The 22,878-nt window shown below is 35.2% G+C and overlaps 1 protein-coding gene across 24 annotated transcripts in view; it reads left to right on the top strand.

Annotated features, from left to right (window-relative positions):
* FAM13A (family with sequence similarity 13 member A) overlaps positions 1 to 22,878 on the top strand; it is a 331,226-nt gene that overhangs the window by 259,865 nt on the left and 48,483 nt on the right. For 22 of the 24 annotated variants that reach the window (XM_047449481.1, XM_047449479.1, XM_011531516.2 and 19 more), the window contains 3 exons: positions 6,694 to 6,735; positions 9,389 to 9,568; positions 15,970 to 16,156. In XM_047449481.1, the coding sequence (XP_047305437.1) occupies positions 6,694 to 6,735; positions 9,389 to 9,568; positions 15,970 to 16,156 (409 nt within the window). The remainder of the gene's footprint in view (positions 1 to 6,693; positions 6,736 to 9,388; positions 9,569 to 15,969; positions 16,157 to 22,878) is intronic. The other 2 variants (XM_047449487.1, NM_001265580.2) reach the window with 1 other exon arrangement.

Raw genomic sequence — 22,878 nt, 5'->3', positions numbered from 1 at the left:
CTCCAGCCTGGGTGACGGAGCAAGACACTGTCTCAAAAAAAAAAAAACCCACAAAACTATCAGAGTAATAATGTTAGATGTGAAAGTCAGAGATTGAAAAGCCAATCTGAAAACTATAATTTGAATGAAGAAACATATTTGTAAAATACAAGTATAGTGTGTGCCCAGCTAATTGAGAGATAAATTTAAAAAAAAATTAGTAGGACCTAGAGATCTGATTATAAGCATTGGTGGAAAGGCAAAGAAAGTAATGAAACTATAATTTTCTTGTCTTACATAAACAGGAAAATAGAAGCAGGTGTCAAGAGGTTTTTTTGTCTATTTTCTTATTTTATTAGGTTGACGTGAAAGTAATTGCACTTTTTGCCATATTTTTAATAATAATGAGAGAAATATGGGCATGAGAAGCAACCATAGTAGAATTGTGCATAGGATTCCTATATTCAGAATGCCTTCAAAAGATAAGAGCAATGTCAGAAACCAAAGGAAAAGCAAGTTCCCAAATTAGAAAGTACAAAGCAAAAACAATACTAGAACAAATCAGCTAGGACAATAAATGTAAGTGGATTAAATTATTTGAGAAAAGCTAAACTACTAAAAAAAAAAAACCTAGTTGAACTATACCATTTGCAAAAGAGTCATACCTAAAACAAAGTGGCACAGAAAGATCAATAATAAAAAGATAAACATATCTACGGTATTATCAAATCATATAAATTTAAATTCTTACATTATCAAGGGTAAACAAGTAAACACATTTGAAATATAGGACTTATACATATAACTATATGTCCATAACAAAATTTACAGGATAGATAGCATTGAGAATTTTGTAAAATTAATAAGATTTCAAATAAATGAGCACCTATATACATATGTGAAATTTTGCATAATATAGAGCTCAATCAAGCATTTCTGCTACTTTATAAAAATTATTCAGCTATCTTTAAAAGTTCTTAAAGAGCAGAAATTTTGATAGCCAATAATTTCTGACCACAGTGTAATTAATGACAAAAACTTTCAATCAACCAATGAAAACTCTTGTAAGGGGACAGGAGGAAGGGGATAACTCAAAGAGTAAATAAGAATCTCAAGTGCATACTGTTAAGAAAATAAAGAAAAAGTATATATGAAAATTTATAGAATAAAGTCTAAACTTATTTTAAGAGGTAACCTAACACAAGATTGAAGATAAATCAGCCACACATTCAGAATAAGAAGTTATAGAAAGGAAGAAAAAGCAACCTCTTTGAAACCTAAAATAATTCATTAATAATAAAAGAAAACAGAAAACGAGCAGAACTGATACTTGAATTCGGGAGCTGGTTCTTTGAGACTAAAAATGAAAATTACAAGATAGAAAATTCTTGATAAGCTTGAGAAAAATGAGAGATGATACTAATAATCATAACTGAAGTTTACTGTAAGGGTTATAATAATTTTTTAAAAGATTAGAGAATACATCATGCAATTTGAAACTAATAAACATGAAAACCTAGATGAAATAAAAATTTTCTGCATTATATAAATTTGGAGAACATCTATTTGAATCAAAAAAAGCACTTTTAGTAACCTAATTCTAATGAAATAACTAGAGGTATAGCCAACAATTTATGTAAATAGCAGCATTATTTGAGAATAAAGATTGTTCAGAGTATCGAGGACATACCCTGAAGCCAGACTACATAGATAGAATGGAGCTGTGTAAACTTAGATACTTAAATTCTCTGCTCTTCAATTTTCTGTAAAATGGAAAAGGGATACAGTATATAAGTGAATTATCCATTACATTTTATAATTTTGTTAATATAGACCTTAGTGTAAAAACTAAACTTTCCATTTCTTTTTATGCTAAAACATACTAAATATATAAAATTGAAAACATCAATAATTGTCAAAAGAAGCTGTATAAAAGATGAGTATTCTGACATTTCGATGGGTTATATTTGATTTGTTAGAATAAATTTAATATAGCATTAAGATATAGCTGTGAAGAGTAATTTTTTCTTCAAATCAGGCTATTTAAAAGAATAGGAAACATGAATTAGAGAAGGTATGAGGATAAATATTTTCCTCTTTTTGAGTTATATCCATGTAGTATGTTTTCAATTTATATTCTAGTATATTATGCACAGTATGCAATTTTAAACCAAGATTTGAGGCTACCCAAAATGTCTGTAATGATGCAAAAGGATGATGCAACTTTTATCAGAGTTTAAATACCAACAAATGTTCCACTAAAGTTCTGCATATGATAATCATAGCTAGAGGTTAAAACAAAAGGAATAAATATTGAGGATTGAATTGTTTTAATGTATGACACTATGAAGAATGCACTAAAATTATGAACAAAATTTAATTTAGAAAGCCATTATACCATAACAAATATGTGCATTGTTATATATGTATAATGTTGATGCTGCATATCAACTTATCGTATTTTAAGATGATACTAAAAATACTATATTTTGTTAAATTGACAAATTAAGAATTTTAGGCTATTTTGATGATTGTTACATGAGCTTTATCCTTAGGTTTATTTAAGCGAACATCTCATAATTGTCTTTTTAATCCTTGCTCAATTAAAAAAAGAGTAAATTTAAATATTATATCCTAGAGAAACTGATAATTTTGTTAGACCTCATGTTTCCTAATAAAACGGTAATATTTTACAGGCAGGATTTTATATGCCATAGAGGAGAACATACTGAAATAAGACAACGCACAGAAAAGAGAACACATGCTTTTCAAGATGTCTCCATTTTGTAGATTTGAAACCTCTTTTTAAATGTATGCTTTTTTATTTCAAATCAAGAGATTTAATTAAAGAATCACTTGTCAACAGGCATCTGTGCATCTTATCACATGCAAATTTTACAGACTAATATTGCTGAGCATAATTGGCTTAAGGAAATATAGTTTGGGTTTTGCTAGTAAAAATAAAGACTAAAGATATTTCAATATGTCATAGAATATATTTCAAAGTAGGCTTAGAATCTATTTTAAATGACCATGCCAATAGAATATTCAGTTGCATCATCACTAACAGTAGGCTTAGGTTTGAATTTGGCCATAGAACTGGGATCTGCATATGAGTGAGCATCTTTCTTTCCATTTTAAATACTTGCTTTGTCAACATTAGGAAATGAACGCTTCCATATCCAACTGTTTATAATGCATAAGTAAGAAATTTTCTTAGCAAATCAGTCAAAGACGCTGAAAAAAAATTCATTATTCTTAGCTCTCCGAAGAGGGTAAAAAGCAAGCTACATACAGATGAAGAAGGAAATTTCTTTATCTTTCACTTTGGCTTATTTGCTTATTGTTTAAATGCTTATTGCCTTTTTGTCAGTGTCTTAGTTATGGAAGAAATCTCTATTGCTTTTGTTAAATATTCTTTAAAATTTTGTTAAGGGTGAATTGTTAAGTACATCCCACAGGAACTATGGCGGTGGATGCCTGACTAAATACCAAAGTTATTTTGGAATCTAATAAACCATAAATGTATCTGATACTATGTCATAAAACTAAATATGCAGTCATAACCTTTTGTAATCATGTAAACTTTAGGCAGTAAGCCTGAACCTGAGATAGAACAATTTTTTGAGGTTTCTTTTAGAGGTAAAAGAAACTACAGAGATCACTAGCCAGACCTTTCATTTTCTATGTGAAGAAACCAACCCAATGCAGCCAAGCTAACCAACAACCTGCCAGTGATTTTGTCTAATCAACTGCAGAGCCAAGACCAGAACTTTCTTTTCTGATTACCAGTGGAAAATATCTTCTCCTAATGCTTTATATAGGAATTCTATTAAAAGAACTTGAAATTATAGACTAGTTAAATATACCAGAAATTCCAAAGGACTATTAAAAACATCACACTTTATTCTAAAACTGTCCTAAAATAAATATGCTAGCAAAAATATGAATATGATTTAATTACTTGGTTTTATTATTGATTTATTCGTTTACTTTTGTACTCTGAGAAATGTGCTCTACAACTGATTTAGATGGTTCAGGTCATTTTTCTCTAAGCTGTTGGAGAAATTTCGATGTGTTGACTTTTATTCACTGAGGTTAACATGAGTTTTCCGTATCCTACCTTCATTACTTAGATTACAGTATTTAAAAATCATTATTGGGATATTTAAGTAATTGAAGTTTTGAAGAATTTTAGTTGCGAAGATAAGAGCCTCTGCCACTCAGTGTCTTCCACAAACCAACAGTATTAGAATCACTGAGGAATGTATTAGAAATGCAGTCTCAGCTTCCCCTTCCCAAGACCTAGACCTGCTGAATCACAGTCTGTATTAACAAGTGCCAAGGTGATTCCTATGCACATTAAGAATGAAGAAGCACTTATTTAAAGAGTTAGAAATCTCAGAACCTCATCTTGTTTGTTGTTTCCTTGTCTTTTTCTTTCTTGCCTTTCTTTCTTCACCCTCCCTTCATGGAAAATGAACATCAAAACATCAGGATCTGCTTTAATAGTCAAAAAGAAGACAGTTCAAAAGGATGTGGAAAGGAGGAGAGGAAATACATGTCTTCATTCTGAGATGGCATAGAGGACTAACAGGCTAATGACATGTCTTTGGAATGTTTTTTAGCATCTAGCAGATCCACATTCTTTACTCTCTTCTGGGTTTTCCCCGAGTCATTACTCATATGGGTCCCTGCTCTCAAAACCAAGGTTGTGTAACTGTACTGAGAAGTGGAGTATAGGAGTTAATTATATATTGTTGAATTTACAGAGGGTAAGCCACAAAGTAGCAAAAGCAAGGACTGCTTGTTCCAGTTAAAGACAGAAAGCAGAAAGGGTTTTATTGTTGGTTATGTAGCCTGGGAACCACTATGAATAACAGGCATTGTGAGGCAGAGGAGAAATTGTTGTAATTAAAAGCAAAGTAAAATACCTAAGGCCAGGCCTCCATATCCAAAGATGACTGTAGTGAGTAATGGATTGAAAGACAAGCTAGTGGAGTGATTAAGAGCTTAGACTCTGAGCTAAAACCTTTCTTGGTTCAAATCCTAGCTCATTTATTTCTTGGTTCTATGGCTGTGGGTAAGTTATTTAACCTTTCTAACCTCTTCATCTGAAAACAGGGAAAAGAGTAGTACCTCTTCATAGGGTTATTGTAAATAATAAGTGAAAAAAAAACTATGTAAAAGTACTTAGCACAGTGTCTGGAACATAGTAAGTACTCAGTAAGTCTTAGGGTGTTTGTATTTATTTACTTATCTTCTTAATTATTTAATACGAATTTGAATCAGCTTCCCTTTTACCTAATCACATGATTTTACGTGGTTTTTCTGGGTTTGTCTGTGGCCATAACAAAGAGCTACAGCTTTAGCTAAAGAAAATTATCTTGGGCGAAAGAGTAAACATTTTTTGATCACCTCTGGGATAATGAGTACTATGGAAGACATGATGGTGGTGGTAGTGGGAGGGAGTGTGATGAAAGAAAATGAGAAATATTGTACAGTCCCTTGAGGCCTTGAGATTCTACATTGAAAGAGATGAGATATACACTTACATGGGAGAAAAACCTGACAGATGATTCCCAAGCAACATATTCATATGTTGAAAATTATATCGTATAAATTAGAATGTTTGGAGTAATTGAAAGACAACTATCAATATTGGTCCTTAACAACTTTGATTTTCTTTGAATGTCTCTACAAAGAAAGAAAAGAACTATTAGGACTATTAGGTAGAACTATAGTTTGACACGACTAAAGATTGTCTCAAATCTGCTCAATATTTAACCTCTTCTTTTAAAGGATAGGCACTTTTAAATCTTGATTCACAAGCCAACTAAACACTAGAGGGCAGATTGTGAGAATGTAATGTGTTAATACAATTAAAATAGCTGCCAGCCTCAACACTCATTGTGGTTATGTGAACATAAGTGCAGGCATGAGGGGGAAAGTTCTGAAGCATGCTAACCTGATAGTGTTTTGTAATTTTATCATTCTACTTTGTGTTGACCACTTCTCAATACTTTTAAAAGAATTCAGGCTTTAAAAAAATGGGAAAATCATGAAAATTTGTAAGTGCTCAACAAAAACATTGTAAATTAGATGTTAAGCTGACACATTACAGAGCTTGAGATGCTTTCCATCCTGAGAAACTTAGGAAGAAAATGTGGCTTCGAAAAGATGGTTTAGAAATAGTCATATAGAAAACAATATCGGTTCCTTGTTCTCTATCCCTGTCGTCCCCACTGCCCTCTGCCTGTTGAGAGCAGAGTTTTAGAAAGATGTTCTGTTTCCTGGCCTAAGAGGAGAAGGAAGGGAATGGATTTGGGCTGGGAAAAGATAGAAATAGGTGAAGTAGGTGGCAGGAAGGCACATGGCCACAATTAACATTTTAGGAAAATGAAAAGACCTTGAACTAGGGCTGCTGTGGCAATAGGTTGACAGCTAAGAGATGGTTTTCCAAATTTAGTTATAGAATTGTCTGCCTTGGACAACTTTTAAAAGGAGAAAAAGCCACTGTTATAAGCAAGCAGGGCCATCTCCATTTCTAGAAACAAGTGAAAATGAGCATCTTTCATTGGATGGTTAAACATTGTTTTGGGGATCACTTGGGACTGAGCTAATTTCTTTCAGCCTGCGATCCACTTCACATGTTTGGTTCATCATCTCTGATCTTTCATCTAACCTGACTTTCTCTTTGCTTCTTTTCTGCAGTGCTCATGTACCCCAAGTCAGCAATGTGTCTGCAACCGGAGAGTAAGTTATTTGGGTTGGGTTTTTGGGCTTTGGGTTTTTTTTTTTTAATGCCCTGTCCCACTTATTAAACAGAAAAAAAAAGCAACTCTAATGGTGTACAGTATTGGAAAATTCAGATAATAAGCAGCCAGTGACTTTTAAACTATATGGAGGAGAGGACTACATAGGTATTCTTATTTGAGCTTCTATATGTGTATTCCTACAGACAACTCCAACATTGGAAAATATGAGCTTTTTGTTTACTTCATTAAAAATAATGCCAGGATCAATTAATATTAGCAAGTAGTCTAATGTACTTTGGGAGGCATCTTGCAATGGATAATGTAATTAAAGGTTAAACCATTAATCATGTCTTTACTCCCTACTTAGTTCATTTGACTGAACCTACATTGACTGAGTGCCTGCAACACGTCAGGCGCATGTTAGATGTGTAATGTCAAGGACGCCTTGGGCCCTGTCTTCAGGGATGTTACACTCTAATAGGGATGCAGAAAAGAAAGCAAATTAGTGATGGCAACAAGTCCCTGGTCCACAGGGCAGTGGCGGTACTCTCTTAATTATGTCATCACATGCCTTTTCCTCCAAAGTCTTCCACTGACACTTAGACTAAACCTAAACTCCAGTTATCAGTCCTTGCTAATGCCTCTGACCATATTGCTCATTACACTTCAGCCACATGACCTACTGTTCCCACGGAGGGCCAACCTTATTGCTGCCTCAGAGCCTTTGTATTGGCTGTTCCTCAGCCTGGCCAGCACTTTTTTCTCATTCACTCCTCGTTCAAGTGTCATCTTATCCAGGATTCTATTCCTAACTACCCATATTCACTTGCCACCACTTTACTCAATGTTTTAGAGAACTTATTACTATTGGAAATTACATTATTTCTTTATTATCTATCTTGCCCTACGGGAATGTAAGCTCTGTAAATACAAGGAACTTGTCTGTCATGTTCATTGCTATCTCCCTACTGCCTAGAGAAGTTCCTGGCATATATTAGGCACTAAATAAATAGTCACTGAATGACAGAACAGCTCCTTGCTCACATATGTTTCCATTACACCTACCTATTCTCCTTACTTGCTGGGACATGAGTGGGCCTCTTTGGAGCATCTTCTCTTGGCAAGGATCAGGTGTAGGAGGTGGGGTAGATGTGGTGTGATAGGGAGAAGAGAGAAGAATTAGAAGAAGCACTAGTTGAAATGAATTTGGATCTAACAGGATGGATTTCCATTTTCTTAATTCCTTGTTGGGAGAGAAAACAATCAGAGGGCAGGACTGACCTCCTTTAGCTTTGTCAGTTTCAAAGATATTCAAGAACTGCACCAAGGCTGACATGTTCTTGCCTTTTTCATTTCCTAATAATCTTTCCTTATGGGTCTTGTATAGCTTGGAAAAAGTGCAGGGTTGTTCTGTTTAGATATTTCAGTTTCATCTGGATGTTTGGTATGTTGTAGGAAGCCACCTCTGATGTAATGCATTTTATGGCATCCTCATGAATATGTTATTTATATATTATGTACATCTCTTATGTGCATATTAATTTACTCACAATCCTCTGTACTGTGATTAAATAATCTTGAATCATTTGAGACATGGAGTTCTATCTATAAAAGTTCTAATGCCCAAGTTAATTTGACTATACTTCCTCATTATCTTAAAATATTTTTAATAAAATTTGAATAACTATGAGTCGATTATAAAACTGCATTTGAAAAATCTGAAATTAGTTAAGTTCTCAAAACACAGTTTATTTAAGTAAATGCTACTTCTCAGCCTGAGCATTTAGAACATATATATATAGTTCTTTTTCAAGCGAAGAAAAACAAGGTTTGAGGACTCTGAGTTAAGAGCTTTCCATACCAGCTTATTTGGAAATAATGTGGTGCTAAAAGGTATACACACCTTGAAAGATTCTACAGCTTTAAAAATGATTCCATTTCTAGCTTACCATGCACTTTTCAGCACTTTGTGCTTATGTGTTTTCCTCATGTTGAACAAAGTAAATCTATCCTTCCAATTTCAGTAATATGTTCTGGGGTGTTTGCATGAATACAGCTTTAATTATAAACATCACAATTTAATTGAATAGAGGTTAGGAAAGATTATGCCATGCTGTTGTGAGTTCTAATTGTTCTGGTGAGTTTTTTCCCAAAATATCATTATTTTCATATAATTTTGTCTTAGATTGTAAATAGATAATAGGCATCATAAAATTATTTGTGCCAGTTTGCTTTGCAAATCACTCTCTCTTCCTCTGTAGAATTGGTATGAAATTGCCTTTGTAAGAATAGGTCTACTATTATTCTATGAGGGCAAAAAAAATCTTTCCTCATTCTTCCTTATATTGATTGACCCCTGTTTCCTGAATGCCTCATAATTGTTGCTAGACTTGCCATGAGCATTTCAGCAATACTGGCTTCACAAAGATGAGAAAGTTGTTAAATTGGCAGAATTGTTTTCGTTTAGTTTTGGTTTTAACACATAATGCAGATATTTTTTAGATTAATGCCTCATCATCTCTCTTTGCTTATGAAGTTCTAAAGACTTTCCACTGGAAATACAGATGTTCCCAAAACTGTAGGCACAGATTTTTTAAGGTGATCACTGATGAACTTGACTGCTTGAATGACTCTGCATTCTTTTTTGCCAGACTCTTAGAAAGAACCATCCGATCAGCTGTAGAACAACATCTTTTTGATGTTAATAACTCTGGAGGTCAAAGTTCAGAGGACTCAGAATCTGGAACACTATCAGCATCTTCTGCCACATCTGCCAGACAGCGCCGCCGCCAGTCCAAGGAGCAGGATGAAGTTCGACATGGGAGAGACAAGTGAGTTGGCATTGATTCTTCCTCTTACTTGAGTTTTCTCTTTTTAAAAGAAATATACACCCAAATTAGTCGCTGTGTTATAGTCATACCTCCTGGTCCTCTCCCATTTCAGTATTTAGGTTAAAACTTTAAGAGTTATCAGTTTGTCCATTCTAAACTTAGCTACATTTGGAAATTCATAGGTAATTGCATAAATATTTCCGTTTCATCCAGACATTTGGTATGTTGTTAGAAGCCACCTCTGATTGAATACACCCTATGGCTTCCTCATAAATATCTTATTTAGAGGGATTCTGAACCATGGGCAGAGAAAGTTACCATATGCTTGTCCAGAGGTATTTTTTTTCTTGCTAGACAACATTAAGTTGACTATTTAGACTTGTTTATGGAGCAGCTGATTTCTCCATTATATTTATGTGATTAAATAGTCAGATATCCCTATAATACTCTGACATTTGATTATGTTTTAGTATAAGAAAGGTTGGGCTTAAATCTACTCAAAAAATGAAAAGCTTAAGTTGTTTATTATAATAATCACTAATTTTAAGGCATTCCCATAGTATGAATTTTAAGAATAGTGTTACAAAGAGCTTTATTCTCCATGAAAAGATTTAATAAAATACAGATGAACAATTACCATTTATATTATTTAATAATCATGACTTAAATTGTCAAGGAAAATAAATTTATATAGAGAATAGACTATACAGATATTCATATATTTTCCCTGAAAGTTCCAAGGTTATTTTTATTGACTATGGCCTTTAGCCTCTTTATGGTTTAATAATGACTCCTTATTAAATGTCAGAAACTAACCTGAACCAGACCCTAGCACCCCTCATTCTTTTTCTTTCTTTTCTTAATTTTTAATCTTTATGAATATATAATAGTCCCACACCCCTCATTCGCATTCTTTTTCACTTTGACTCATAATCTACATTAAACCCTTTATGGAAAAAGAAAAAAAACTTTTTTTCGCTTAAAGAAAAACATAAAAGATAAACAGTATAAATAAGTTTCATGCTATACCTCACCGAGATGTTTAAGAGCTATATTAGCAAATGTAATTTTAGAAATAAAGCAGTATCAATAATATAACCCACTGATTTACAAGTAGCATGTGCAGTACTTTTAAAATAAATTTTCATGGAGCTGGTGGATAGAATAGTTGTAATATTCCATTTAGAAAATAGAAAAAGTATAATATAGGAGATATTTACATTTCTTCTCCTGTGGCATGACATGAGATATTTACATTTAAAATTAGCTACTGACATGTTTATAGAAAGTGTTTAGAAGTATAATTAGTTTGTGTACTACCTCTAATGTGTTATAGAGAAAGCACAAATTATTCATTTAACACTGTTCTTATCCTCTGCCTCATTTTTTGCTGAGGAGTATGTAGCAACATTTTGCATTTTAAAAATATCCTCAGTGTGTCACGATATCCTGCTTTCCACCCTCTTTGTTTGGACAGAGGGCTAGCAGGTGGAGGTGGGAAGTGGTGGGGAGCATGAGAGAGAACAGAGAGTGATGGTGCTGTTGGTGGATGCTTGGCAGCAGGTCTGGGGGAGGACAGTGGAGGTAGAAACAGATAGGGGCCAGACAGGGCAGGGAAATGTGAAACACAGCCTCACCTCTCCTGAAGAATTTAAATAGAGAGCTTCCCAAGCCCAGGGACATTTCTTGCATAAGTTATCTTGATTGTTTTTTACTAGCAGTATTAGGAGAACCAAAGGAGATGGGGAATGGTAGCTGAGTGATGGTATGAAGACTATACCCATGAAACCCTAGCCTTTCCCTTAATTGTTCTTCTCTTGCTATTCCCTTCACCACTCCTCCTGGTCAAATCACAGTTGGGCATTGAGTGAGAGAATCTTGGGGTACAAACAGTACCTAACCTGGCACACTATGATACAATCGTGTCTTGATAGTCCTTCAACTCCCAGCCCACACTGAACGGCTTCTCTTAGCTCTCCAGGTCTTTGGAAGAGTGAGACCCTTATCTCTCAAAACCCCCAGATCCACTAATTTTGTCTGGCCCAGCTTTGACCGTAGGTCAGTAGTCATTTCCTGCAACCCCTCTCCCCTTATCTTCATGCTGGGTTCTGTTATCCTTTCACTCACCTTCTTTGATCCAGTGCTCTCATTCCGCTTGTTTCTTCCCAGCTCCACTCTTTCCTTTTGCTCATCTGCTTGCTTGAAATAGTTTTCCAGCAGGCTGATTCTTTCAGCATCTCCTCTTTGGTCTTAGATTTCTGTTTTAACCTTCCTTTCAATGAGCCGCCATAAAGGTCTTCTCCAGTATCTCCAGGAGAGTCATGAACATGTCATAAATTATAAGAAGATCAAGAATCATTAATATAGCCTACAGTCAAGAGTTCGTCATAGTATATGCTTCTATACAATTGATTCATTTAAGATTTTTCACAAGTCTTTACTCAAAAAATAAGGAAAAATTAAGCTAGGCTGTAATATTCTATTCAAAACTATAAGCTTTATGAAGTGGTTAAAAAGTGTTTAGAAACATAGAAATCTATTTATATTATTATCTATTATTTTGCCTCTAGTAACTTAGAGATGCAACAAATTAAAAAATATTCTTGAAGAAGCCAATGATGACTATGTTTCAAGATGAGTAGAAGGGTCAGTAAAGTCATACTAAAGTCGTCATGGCCCATTTTTGAAATAGCAGTACCGAAGATAGACAAAGACTACAAATAACTTCATTCATAGGTACAAATGATTTGTTATTTGTCTAAATTCATAAGGAAATATAATCAGACCTATATTACTATTTGCTACAATTTTGTAGCAAATTAATCTTCATTATGTAATAATAAAATCTTCATTATGTAAAAATATTCAGCTAAATTCATTTAGTAAAAAAATCTACTATCTGCCAAGTTTACAGAAATGTGAAATTTTGGTAATGGGTATATGGAAGTCTGTTATGATAGTGTCTCTACTTCTGTATATGTTTGAAAAAAATCATAAGAAATATTTTTTAAAAGCAAAGCATCATTTAAGTGAAAATGATTTTCAATCTTCTAAAAACACAGTGAACTGGAAAATTGATCCAAATGTTTCTTTGTTATATAAAGACTATATTAAAATCCTACTGCAAAGTAAAAGAAAAGCAGGCTATATTTGGGGAATAATAAATAGTTCAGCATTGCCAGGACATTAAGTAAGTATGTAGGGGTGAGGAGAAAATCCTGAAAAAAATATGGAAATAAATCTAGATAATGAAAGTGAGAGGTCCAGAGATCTAAGTTCAGTGAAATCCAAGTTATGTCAAATGTGATTGAAATCTGACAGAATATTGCAGGAAGGAATTGAGTACACCTGCTCCATCTAAGATTAGATTTAAAGAAATACAACCATGTGTTTTATACAGAGCTGTATCTAAATAAAGTGCCCCTGAAGTCTTCAACAGTGATAATTGAGCACCCAGTACTATAAGGTGATTCAATGATGAAAAACAGATATCGCATCCAGGCTCATGGATCTATAGTGTAATCGAAATTAGAGTTCAACAAAGTGAAGTAGAAGAGACACGTGGATGCACGTAAAAGCAAAGACTTCCCTCGGAGGAGACAGGATTTGTCCATGAGCACAACAGCATGGTCAGATTTTCATATATTTATTTTGACAGGATTTTTTCTAGTCATTCATTCACTATTCAAAATGATCATAAAATAAACTTTACTTTCTTATTTTTAAAAATCGTTTTTAGCTGTCGTCTTTAGTCTGCTTGGGCTGCCATAACAAAATACCACCGACTGGGTGGCTTAAACAACAAAAATTTATCTTCTGACAGTTCTAGAAGCTGTAAGTTCAAGGTCAAGGTGCTAGAAGTGTCCGTTTCTGTTGAGGCCTCTCACACTGGCATGCAGATGGCTACCTTTTCACTGTGTCTGCACATGCCCCTTCCCCTGTGTGCACACTCCTGATGTCTCTCCCTCTTCTTACAATGACATTAGTCCTATTGGATTAGGGTCCCACCCTTGTTACTCTTTTAACCTTATTTACCTCCTTAAAGGCCCTGTCTCCAAATATGGTCACATTGGGGGTTAGGACTTCAAAATGTGAATTTTGAGGGTACATAAATCCGTCCATACTAGCTTTAAAGCATTAAAGATCCTCCATTTAAAGGTTATAATTGGGGCTGGGCGCAGTGGCTCATGCCTGTAATCCCAGCATTTTGGGAGGCCAAGGCGGGCAGGAGTTTGAGAAGAGCCTGGCCAATATGATGAAACCCCATCTCTACTAAAAATACAAAAATTAGCCAGTGTGGTGGCGCATGCCTGTAGTCCCAGCTACTCAGGAGGCTGAGGCAGGAGAATTGCTTGAACCTGGGAGGTCGAGTTTGCAGTGAGCCTAGATCGCACCACTGTACTCCAGCCTGGGCGACAGAGCAAGACTCTGTCTCAAAAAATAAATAAATAAAAATAAAAGTGAAAAAAAAAGTTATAAGTGGACATATACCCCAAAAGCTAGGTTAATGGATACGAAAACATAGTTTGCAAAAGACCTAGTATTTGTTAGGACAACAGGGTGATTAGAATAAAAAATAAATTAATTATACATTAAAAATATCTAAAAGAGTGTAATTGGATTGTTTGTAATACAAAGAATAAGTGCCTGATGGAATGGATACCTCATTTACCTTAATGTAATTATTATGCATTGCATGCCTGTATCAAAATATCTCATGTACCCTGTAATTTATGTATATACACCTACCGTGTACACACAAAATTAAAAATAAATAAAAAACAAACAGAAAAAAAGGCTAGGAAAACTATGAAGAGTGATAAGATAGAATTTAAATAGTAAAATAAATAATTTTTGAGTTTTAGAATTACACCAAATTGATCCAGCCACCCACAGAAGGCACTGCTCTCAGTGCGTGGAGGGGAGAGATTGAGGAACATGTGCATGAGTATAAGTGCTTGCATTTAGTCCCTATCATCTTCTCCTCCTGTCTTCAATTACTTTGTACTTAGAATATCTCTTATAAATGTGCATAAATCTTTTATATAATTTTACTAAATATATATTTTCACATTAAAGTTGTAGAAAAAAGACTAAAATATGGAGTGTTAAAAATTACCAAAGATAGTATAACTTTGAAAATATTATGATAGTATTTAATTCATAATTTTGCCTGTTATACCCTGTCTAAAGATATGAATTTAGATTTCAGAATAAATATTTAATGTTATCTTTCATTTTGGGATATGGTTGAGCCAATAGTAAAATATGATATGTATTTTTACTCTTTAGAATTCATTTATTTCAAGATGCAGTTTTAGGTGTTTAGGGAGGTACATTAACTCACTCATACCACGAAGGAGGAGAATAAAGTCTCATTTATTTGTTCCTTACCAAGCCATGGTGCTGTGCTGATGGTTTTATTTGTTCCATGATATTGTTTCTTTTTTTTTTTAACTCAGTTTGCTAATTTACTCTTGTGAAAACCTATTATAGGAATGCTTAAGATATTAATACTTAAAACTGTTTTATGAACATCAAATGAATTAAATTCTATGACATTCATATCTACTTCTACAACTATGTCATGAAAGAGGTCTGTACTTGGAAGTAACAAATCCAGATTTCAGTTAAAATGCTTTGTATTCCATAGTTTTTATTAACTTATATAATTTCTACTAAGATTATCTATTAATAATTCAATGAGATTGAAATACACATTTCTTTTTTTTTAATTTTTTAATTTTTTTTATTTTATTATCATTATACTTTAAGTTTTAGGGTACATGTGCACAATGTGCAGGTTTGTTACATATGTATACATGTGCCATGTTGGTGTGCTGCACCCATTAACTCGTCATTTAGCATTAGGTATATCTCCTAATGCTATCCCTCCCCGCTCCCCCCACCCCACAACAGTCTCCGGACTGTGATGTTCCCCTTCCTGTGTCCATGTGTTCTCATTGTTCAATACACATTTCTACACTACTAAAATGGAAGATACAATTCCTTTTTAGATTTTTCTCCATACACTGTATGAATTTATAAATTTTAAATATATATATATTTAAACATCTACTGTGAATAATAGGAAATTTCTGTATAAACTTGCACTGTTCTCCCTTTTTGAATACAAATTACTTTTGGTAAAATACAAAAGCTGTCCATTGGTAGAAACAGCCCTTGCCAATTTGCCTCTAGGAATTATTTCTCTTTCAATGTGATTTATTTGGCACCAAGCAGTCCCAGGAGTGGCACTCTGCTCAGATTTTGATCAGAGATGCATACTGGAATTTCTGGGCACTCTTTGGATTTCCTAGGTATGATATGATGTAGTTAGAGTATCATTCAATGACCATTTGATCTTTTAAAATAAAATTAAGCTTTTTTCTCAATTCAAGGGGACTTATCAACAAAGAAAATACTCCTTCTGGGTTCAACCACCTTGATGATTGTATTTTGAATACTCAGGAAGTCGAAAAGGTACACAAAAATACTTTTGGTTGTGCTGGAGAAAGGAGCAAGCCTAAACGTCAGAAATCCAGTACTAAACTTTCTGAGCTTCATGACAATCAGGACGGTCTTGTGGTAAGTGAATACGTCTATAAAGTTTTACTTGTTAGGAAATATTACATCTCTTTTCTTTGCTTTGTAAAAAAATTAAAAGTAATTTCAGTCTTTCAGTTTTGAGTGCTGGAAGAGACCTTAGAGCTACTAAGTGTATATATATTTGTATTTCTTTTTAATAAATACAAAAATTAAGGCCGAGAAATATTATATTCTACAAAGGAACAAGAGACACCACACATTCTGATTTCCATTGTTTTTTTCTCTTTTTTTTCAAGCATTTTTAAATTTTGTTTTTGAAATAAAATTGCCCATAAAGCATTTTTTCTTCTTTTTCCCCATTCTATTTGTTCTTGTCTGAGTGAATATGTTTTATAAATTAATGAATGAACTTAAAGCAAGGTGAAATACACAGTGAAAGAGGATCAGCTATCTTCATGTTCAGAAATCTCTTCATGTTCAGAAATTTTGTTTCAAATCTGTACTCTTTTAAAGTATTTTCTTCCAAGTTAATCAGAAACAAAAAGAAATTAATCCCTGTGTAGTTGCCTCAGACCTGAATCTTGGATCCTTAATTCAATACATAGTATAAGTGTTTACAAGTGGTTTAATCAGTGGCTAAATATTTGTTCAGTATAACTATTAACATTCATCATCCTTCTTCCTTAATGTATTAGTTTCTCTGAAAAATAAGCCACAAAGTCTGTCCCTTTAGTTAAAAAAGAAAACAACAAACCCAAAAACCTGAAGATAAATTTTATAACATGGCGTGAACTGGAATCCCTAATAAAAATAGGCAATATCCTCTCCTACTGTTTAGTGTGCAAATCCTCTGACGTACTTTGACCAGTTTTTAGCTCCATGCTGTGTTTTCCATACATTCAATAAAATTCATGGGCCACCTATTTTCTCATTGTCAATTTCTGCATGTGCTCGGAGAAGATTTCTAATTTTTCCATAAGTAAAATACAGGTAAATGCAAATCTAGGATTTTTTTCCCCCCATAATGTCTCAATGCATTGTTTCTGGAAGTAAACTGATCAGCTAGAGTGAACAGAAATAATAATCTACCTCAGACTTATGTCTGGTACAATTCTCAAAATAAAGAATTTAAAGTTTGGAATCATGACACACTATTTTTTAACACTGATGATTTCATTTTTCTTGTTAAAAGTAAATATTTAAATAAAATAAATGGTATTAACTTCATTAGCTCTCTAATTGGCCCATGATTTGCTGATCTGCCAAAGAGCTATCTGGTGACTGAAAGTCTGAGACTTGGCTTTATAGTGTGAAAAGAAGCTATGAAGCAGGCTTCTCAGTTTGAATCCCTTTTTACATTCATTTAACCCATTAATTTTTTCCACCAGGAATAGTGTCTTCAGTTAGTTAGATGGTAATAGTTAATAGAAGTGGAAAAGTACATTTACTCCTTAGAATATGTGTTTACTGATAAAACTATGGACATAGTCTGTGCTGAAAAACACTGGGATGGAAGATCCTAATTCCATTTGGGGTTTTTTATGTGAAAGAATTTGCCCCTACCTCAATTGCCAGTTTCCGCATTCCAGGATTGTGCATGTCACATATGAACTCAGTGGACCGTGTCTTTGTTGCAATGAATAACTTGAAACCCTGCCAATACAACTTAGAAGAAAAACTTCCTCATCTGTAAAGTGAGGGTATTCTCAAAGATGTTTTCCAACTCTTATATTCCATGAATTTAAAAATCTAATCTTCGCAAGTAACCACAAAGCAAAGAGCCAGGGAACACAACGACGACTAATATTAAGACGACATCCTGAATGTTACGTTGTGTATCTTCACTTCCCCCTTATTTTTAACCTTCTAATTCTACTTTCCCCAACTTTCCTCCAAAACCTTTCCCTAGCCCATTTTAAGTTCTTTACATTCTGACCAAACATTTGTTTCTATAGCTTAAAAAAATTATACATAATTATATGTCATCTGTGTGGCAGGAAATAGTTTAGATCCTGTGGATACAATAGTGAGAAAAACAGGTAACAATTCCTGCCTTCCTGGAGCTTACATTCTAGTCAGGGAAACAGACAATAACCAAGATAAATAAGTAAACAATAAAGTATATTAGGTAGTGATAACAACTAGAAAGAAAAAAAATATGCAGGGAATGGGGACAGGAACCTGTGAGGGGGCAAGGGATGCAGTTTTAAATGGAATAATCAGAGGAGACCTCTCCAAGAATTTGACACTTGAGTATAAAGAACTAGAGGAAGTAAGGAAGCAAGACTTACTGTTGGAATCACAGGTGCAAGGGCTCTGAGGCAATTGTTTTCTGGAATATTGAAGGAACCACAGAGGCACCATTATGGTTGGAAAAGAGTGAGCAAAGTGAAAGAGGGAATGGAAAGCAGGGCATGTTAAATAGGTCTTTATAGATCATTGTAAGGACCCCTCCTTTATTCTGGGTGAGATGAGAAGCCATTGAGTTCTCAGTAGAACAGTGACCTGGCTTACTTAAACTTGGTGATGCTTTGTTGAGAATAGACAATTAGCAGGCAAGGGCAGAAGCAGAGAGACCAGTTAGGAATCATTACAGTCATCTGGGTTTGAGATGATGATGGCTTGAACTGAGGTAATACAAGAGCCAGCTATATGGACTCACGGGCTGTACCCTTCACTGATCTAGAGAGCACTGTTCCCATCAACTAAAACATGAATGGTTCCCCCTGGAGTTGTGCACTGCAGTGGTCAAGAGGTGGGGTAAGAAAGTGAATGTATTTTGAAGATAGAATTGACAAAATCACCTGACAGATTCAATGTGGGGTATGAAAGCAAAAGAGGAGTCAAAGATGATTCCAAGATTTTTGTCCTGAGCAGCCAGGAGACTGGTCTTGCCAATTTACTGAGATGAGGAAGATAGACGTTTTGGGAGTCATATCCTAAGTTCAGTTTCTGACATGGAAAGACTGAGCTGCCCATTAGACATCTAAGAGAAGAGATATTAGAGAGGCAACTGGGCTTCTGGGCCTAGAGTTTCGGGAGAATGCCCTCCTTAGAGATACAAATGTGAGAGTCATGAGCATTGTAAATGACATTTAAAGCCAATACACTGGCTGAGATAACCAAGGGAGTGAATATGGATAGAAAAGGCCTTCACACAAGGCCTTGAGGCAGAGAATGGGGATATAAGAAGCCAGCTGAGGAAACTTAAGAAGCAGCAGCCAGAAAACTAGAAGAAAAATGAGGTAAGTTTGGTGTCTTAGAAGCCAAGTAACCAAGGGACTCAAAGAGGAAGGAGAATCAGATGATAGGTCAAGTAAAAGACTGCGAGTTCAACCATTGAAATTAGCAAAATGTCGCTCCCTGGTGATCTTAGTAAGAATAGGGTTGGTAGAAAGATGGGAGCAAGAGCCATTTTCAGGAGAAGATGGTAGGAGAGTAACTGAAGACAGTGAGTAAATGGCTTCACAGTGATCTTGCTGGCCCACGGCACAGCCAAAGAGGAGAATATGATGTAGATCTGGAAAAGTGTCTTACAGATTTGGTGTCTTTACAGTGGGAACTATCTGGCTCCTTTCTCCCTCTGTCCCTTGCCTCCCGAGGATATCATGACCAGCAGAGACTGAGAAACTACAGATAATTCAGAGCTCAGAAATCAGGGGCAGTGAGGTACCAGTCTGGGCATCAGACTGCACTGCCTTATCTCGAATTATTGCCACAATTTCAACCTTTCCCTTTCCTTAAACCCCAAGCTCATACCTGTGCCCTTCCTTCTCTCCCAGAAGAAAACCTTATCTCCTCTTTTACTTTGAAGAGCTGAAATAACCCGCTTCTGTTTCAACTTCCCTCACTTCACTTCCACATTTCTCTAGCTCTCTGCCTATTTTATTTTCTTATCTGCTCAAATGACAAAGTAAGTTTCCTAAATTCTAAAACTAACCTCTAAGGTGAAAAGTATCTTTGGAAATTCTATTTTTCACATCCATCTCCCAGCCTACCTGACACCGGCATAAAAACATACTTACACATGCACACTTCCTCTCTATTGGCTCATCTCCACTGGCCTAGAAAAAAAGTCTCCATCTCCAAACTTCCACTCTAGGGCAGAGTTTAATACTTTGAGTCAAAAATCACAACACATTCATGCATTTTATCCAATAATCCTACTTCTGCTACTTACTCTGTTCTAGGTGCATAATCCTTTTTGTTTGTTTGTTTGTTTGTTTGTTTGAGATGGAGTTTCACTCTTATTGCCCAGCTGGAGTGCAGTGACATGATCTCAGCTCACTGCAACCTCCCCCTCCCGGGTTCAAGTGATTCTCCTGCCTCAGCCTCCTGAGTAGCTGGGTTTACAGGCGCACACCACTGTGCCCAGCTAATTTTTGTATTTTAGTGGAGATGGGGTTTCACCATGTTGGCCGGGCTGGTCCTGAACTCCTGACCTCAACTGATCTGCCCCCCTCGGCTTCTCAAAGTGCTGGGATTACAGGCATGAGCCACCACACTCGGCCACTAGGTGCATAATCTTAAATATCAAAAAAACCATATATATTAATTTGCTCACCACAAGGCTATTTATAATCATGGAGAATTAGAAGCAATTTAAATGTTCAGAAGTAGAAGAGCAGATGATTAACATTTGTATGTCAACTCAATAAAATATTTTGCAATGATTCAAAATTATAGTTATGAAGATTATATAATAAAATAGAAAATATTTGACAAGTTATATTTTAAGTGCTTTTCATATATTCTCAATTTTAATCCTCCCAATAATCCATAGGTAGATATTATTATTCCCATTCTAATCATGAGGACAATTAGGCATAGGAGATTAAACAACTAGGTCACACGTAAGTGGTGGAGCTGGGATTCCACTGTACCGCCCTTCAATATAAAAATAGGTTATGAAGCAATATCTACAGTGCATGCATATGTATGTATGATATATTCATTCCTAGGAAGAAAGGCTAAAAGGATATATAGCTAAAAGTGATTGTGTGATTGCATTATGGTGGTGGCAGTAGTATTAGAGGTAATTGTTTCTCTTCTCTCCAAATATGTTCTGTGTGATTATATGAATTCTATAATATTACATTTAATATATAAAAATAAAAACAAAGTCTATAGGTCTCTTATCTACGAACAACTTCCTTTTAGTTTCATGTGTACATGAAATCTCAGTCAAGGTTCAAGAAAGGAGAATAGGTCTTGTAATCATACCTGAATTTCAGTTCCAACTATCTCACTTCATAGCTATGGCAAGTAAAGCACGTTACTTAGCCTTTTACTTCATCTGTAAAATAGCAGTTTTTTGTGAGATTGTGTTTTTTTGTGAGATTTCAATGCAACTAAATGTGCTAAAGAATAGGTAAAACTGAACACAGTAAATACGTTTCTGCTCCCTCTGCTCTGATGGCCAATCTCTTTTCTTCATTTTACCATCACACATGTTGAACAGTCTGTACTTGTTAGTTTCAGTTCTATTTTTTTTTAAGAGGCAGAGTCTAACTCTGTCATCCAGCCTGGAGTACAGTGGCATGATCAAAGCTCACTGCAACATCCAACTCCTGGGCTTAAGGGATCCTTCTGCCCCAGCCTCCCAAGTAGCCGGGACCATAGGCATGTGCCACCACACCCAGCTAATTTTTAAAATTTTTTGTAGAGACAGAGTTTCAGAAGTGTGAGGCCAGGCTGGTCTCACACTTCTGGCCTCAAATGATCCTCCCACCTCAGCCTCCCAGTGCTGGGATTACAGGAGTGACGTGCCATGCCCAGACCCCATTCTTCTTTTCATATTTATACATCATTTCCCTATAGTCTAGATTCCATCCCCAACCCCAACCCGAACTCCAACCCCATTCTCTACAGAACCTTTCTTAATGTCTCTACTGGTCTTTTGTGCTATGACTGGTCCCTGTGCTATGACTTCATCTAGTTCTTGGCCTCCTCAAGGCCTTGGGGTGTTTGATACTTTGTGGCTCTTTGTCTGAACCCTTTCTCCCTTGGTCTGAATGATGTTGACCTCTCCTTGTCCTCATACCACAATGACTGTTTTCTTCTTTGTTGTATCCTTCCCTGGCTAAGCTCCCATAAATCATGCTTGGATTTAAATGTTATCTAGATTTTTGTCTCATATCTCTTCTCTATCTGAACTTTCAGAGCTTTTCCAGTTCCATGGTTTCAGTTGTCACCCCTCTACAAATGACTTAGAAATTAACATTTGATGGATTCTGTCTGCAGTTCACCCCAGAGAATACTTTAAAGTCAACATGTTGAAACCAAACTCATCATCTTCTCCTCAATCTTTTTCATTCAAGAGTCCCATCTGATTCAATCACATCATCGTCTCCTTAGTCATTTTCCAAGTCCTTTCCTTTTCTTCACCTCCATCCTTCCTTCAACATTTCAATCATGTGTCAAATTTAGTTGATTCTGCTTTTTAAAAAAATATTACGTGCATCTCCTTTCCCTTTTTGCGTTGCCATTACATAGTTGAGGCTCTTATTGTAATTAGTCTGGAATATTGAAACAGCCAGCCAACATGTCTCCAAGCTTCTACTCACTTTCCTCTCCAGAACATGTCTGCTGCTACAAAACAATTGTTTTCAGTGTAACACAACTCAGCAAGAACTGAAACATTGTTTTCAGTGTAACACAACTCAGCAAGAACTCCTGTTAAAAAACCACATGACCATGATTTTCTGGGTGGTATCAAATATAATGTAAAAAAGCCCAACAATGTGAACCACTGACTTAAA

Source organism: Homo sapiens, chromosome 4 (assembly GCF_000001405.40).
Source record: "Homo sapiens chromosome 4, GRCh38.p14 Primary Assembly".
Taxonomy (NCBI): Eukaryota; Metazoa; Chordata; class Mammalia; order Primates; family Hominidae; genus Homo; species Homo sapiens.
The sequence above is the reverse complement of the archived record's forward strand: the minus strand, read 5'-3'. Positions and strand labels throughout refer to the sequence as shown.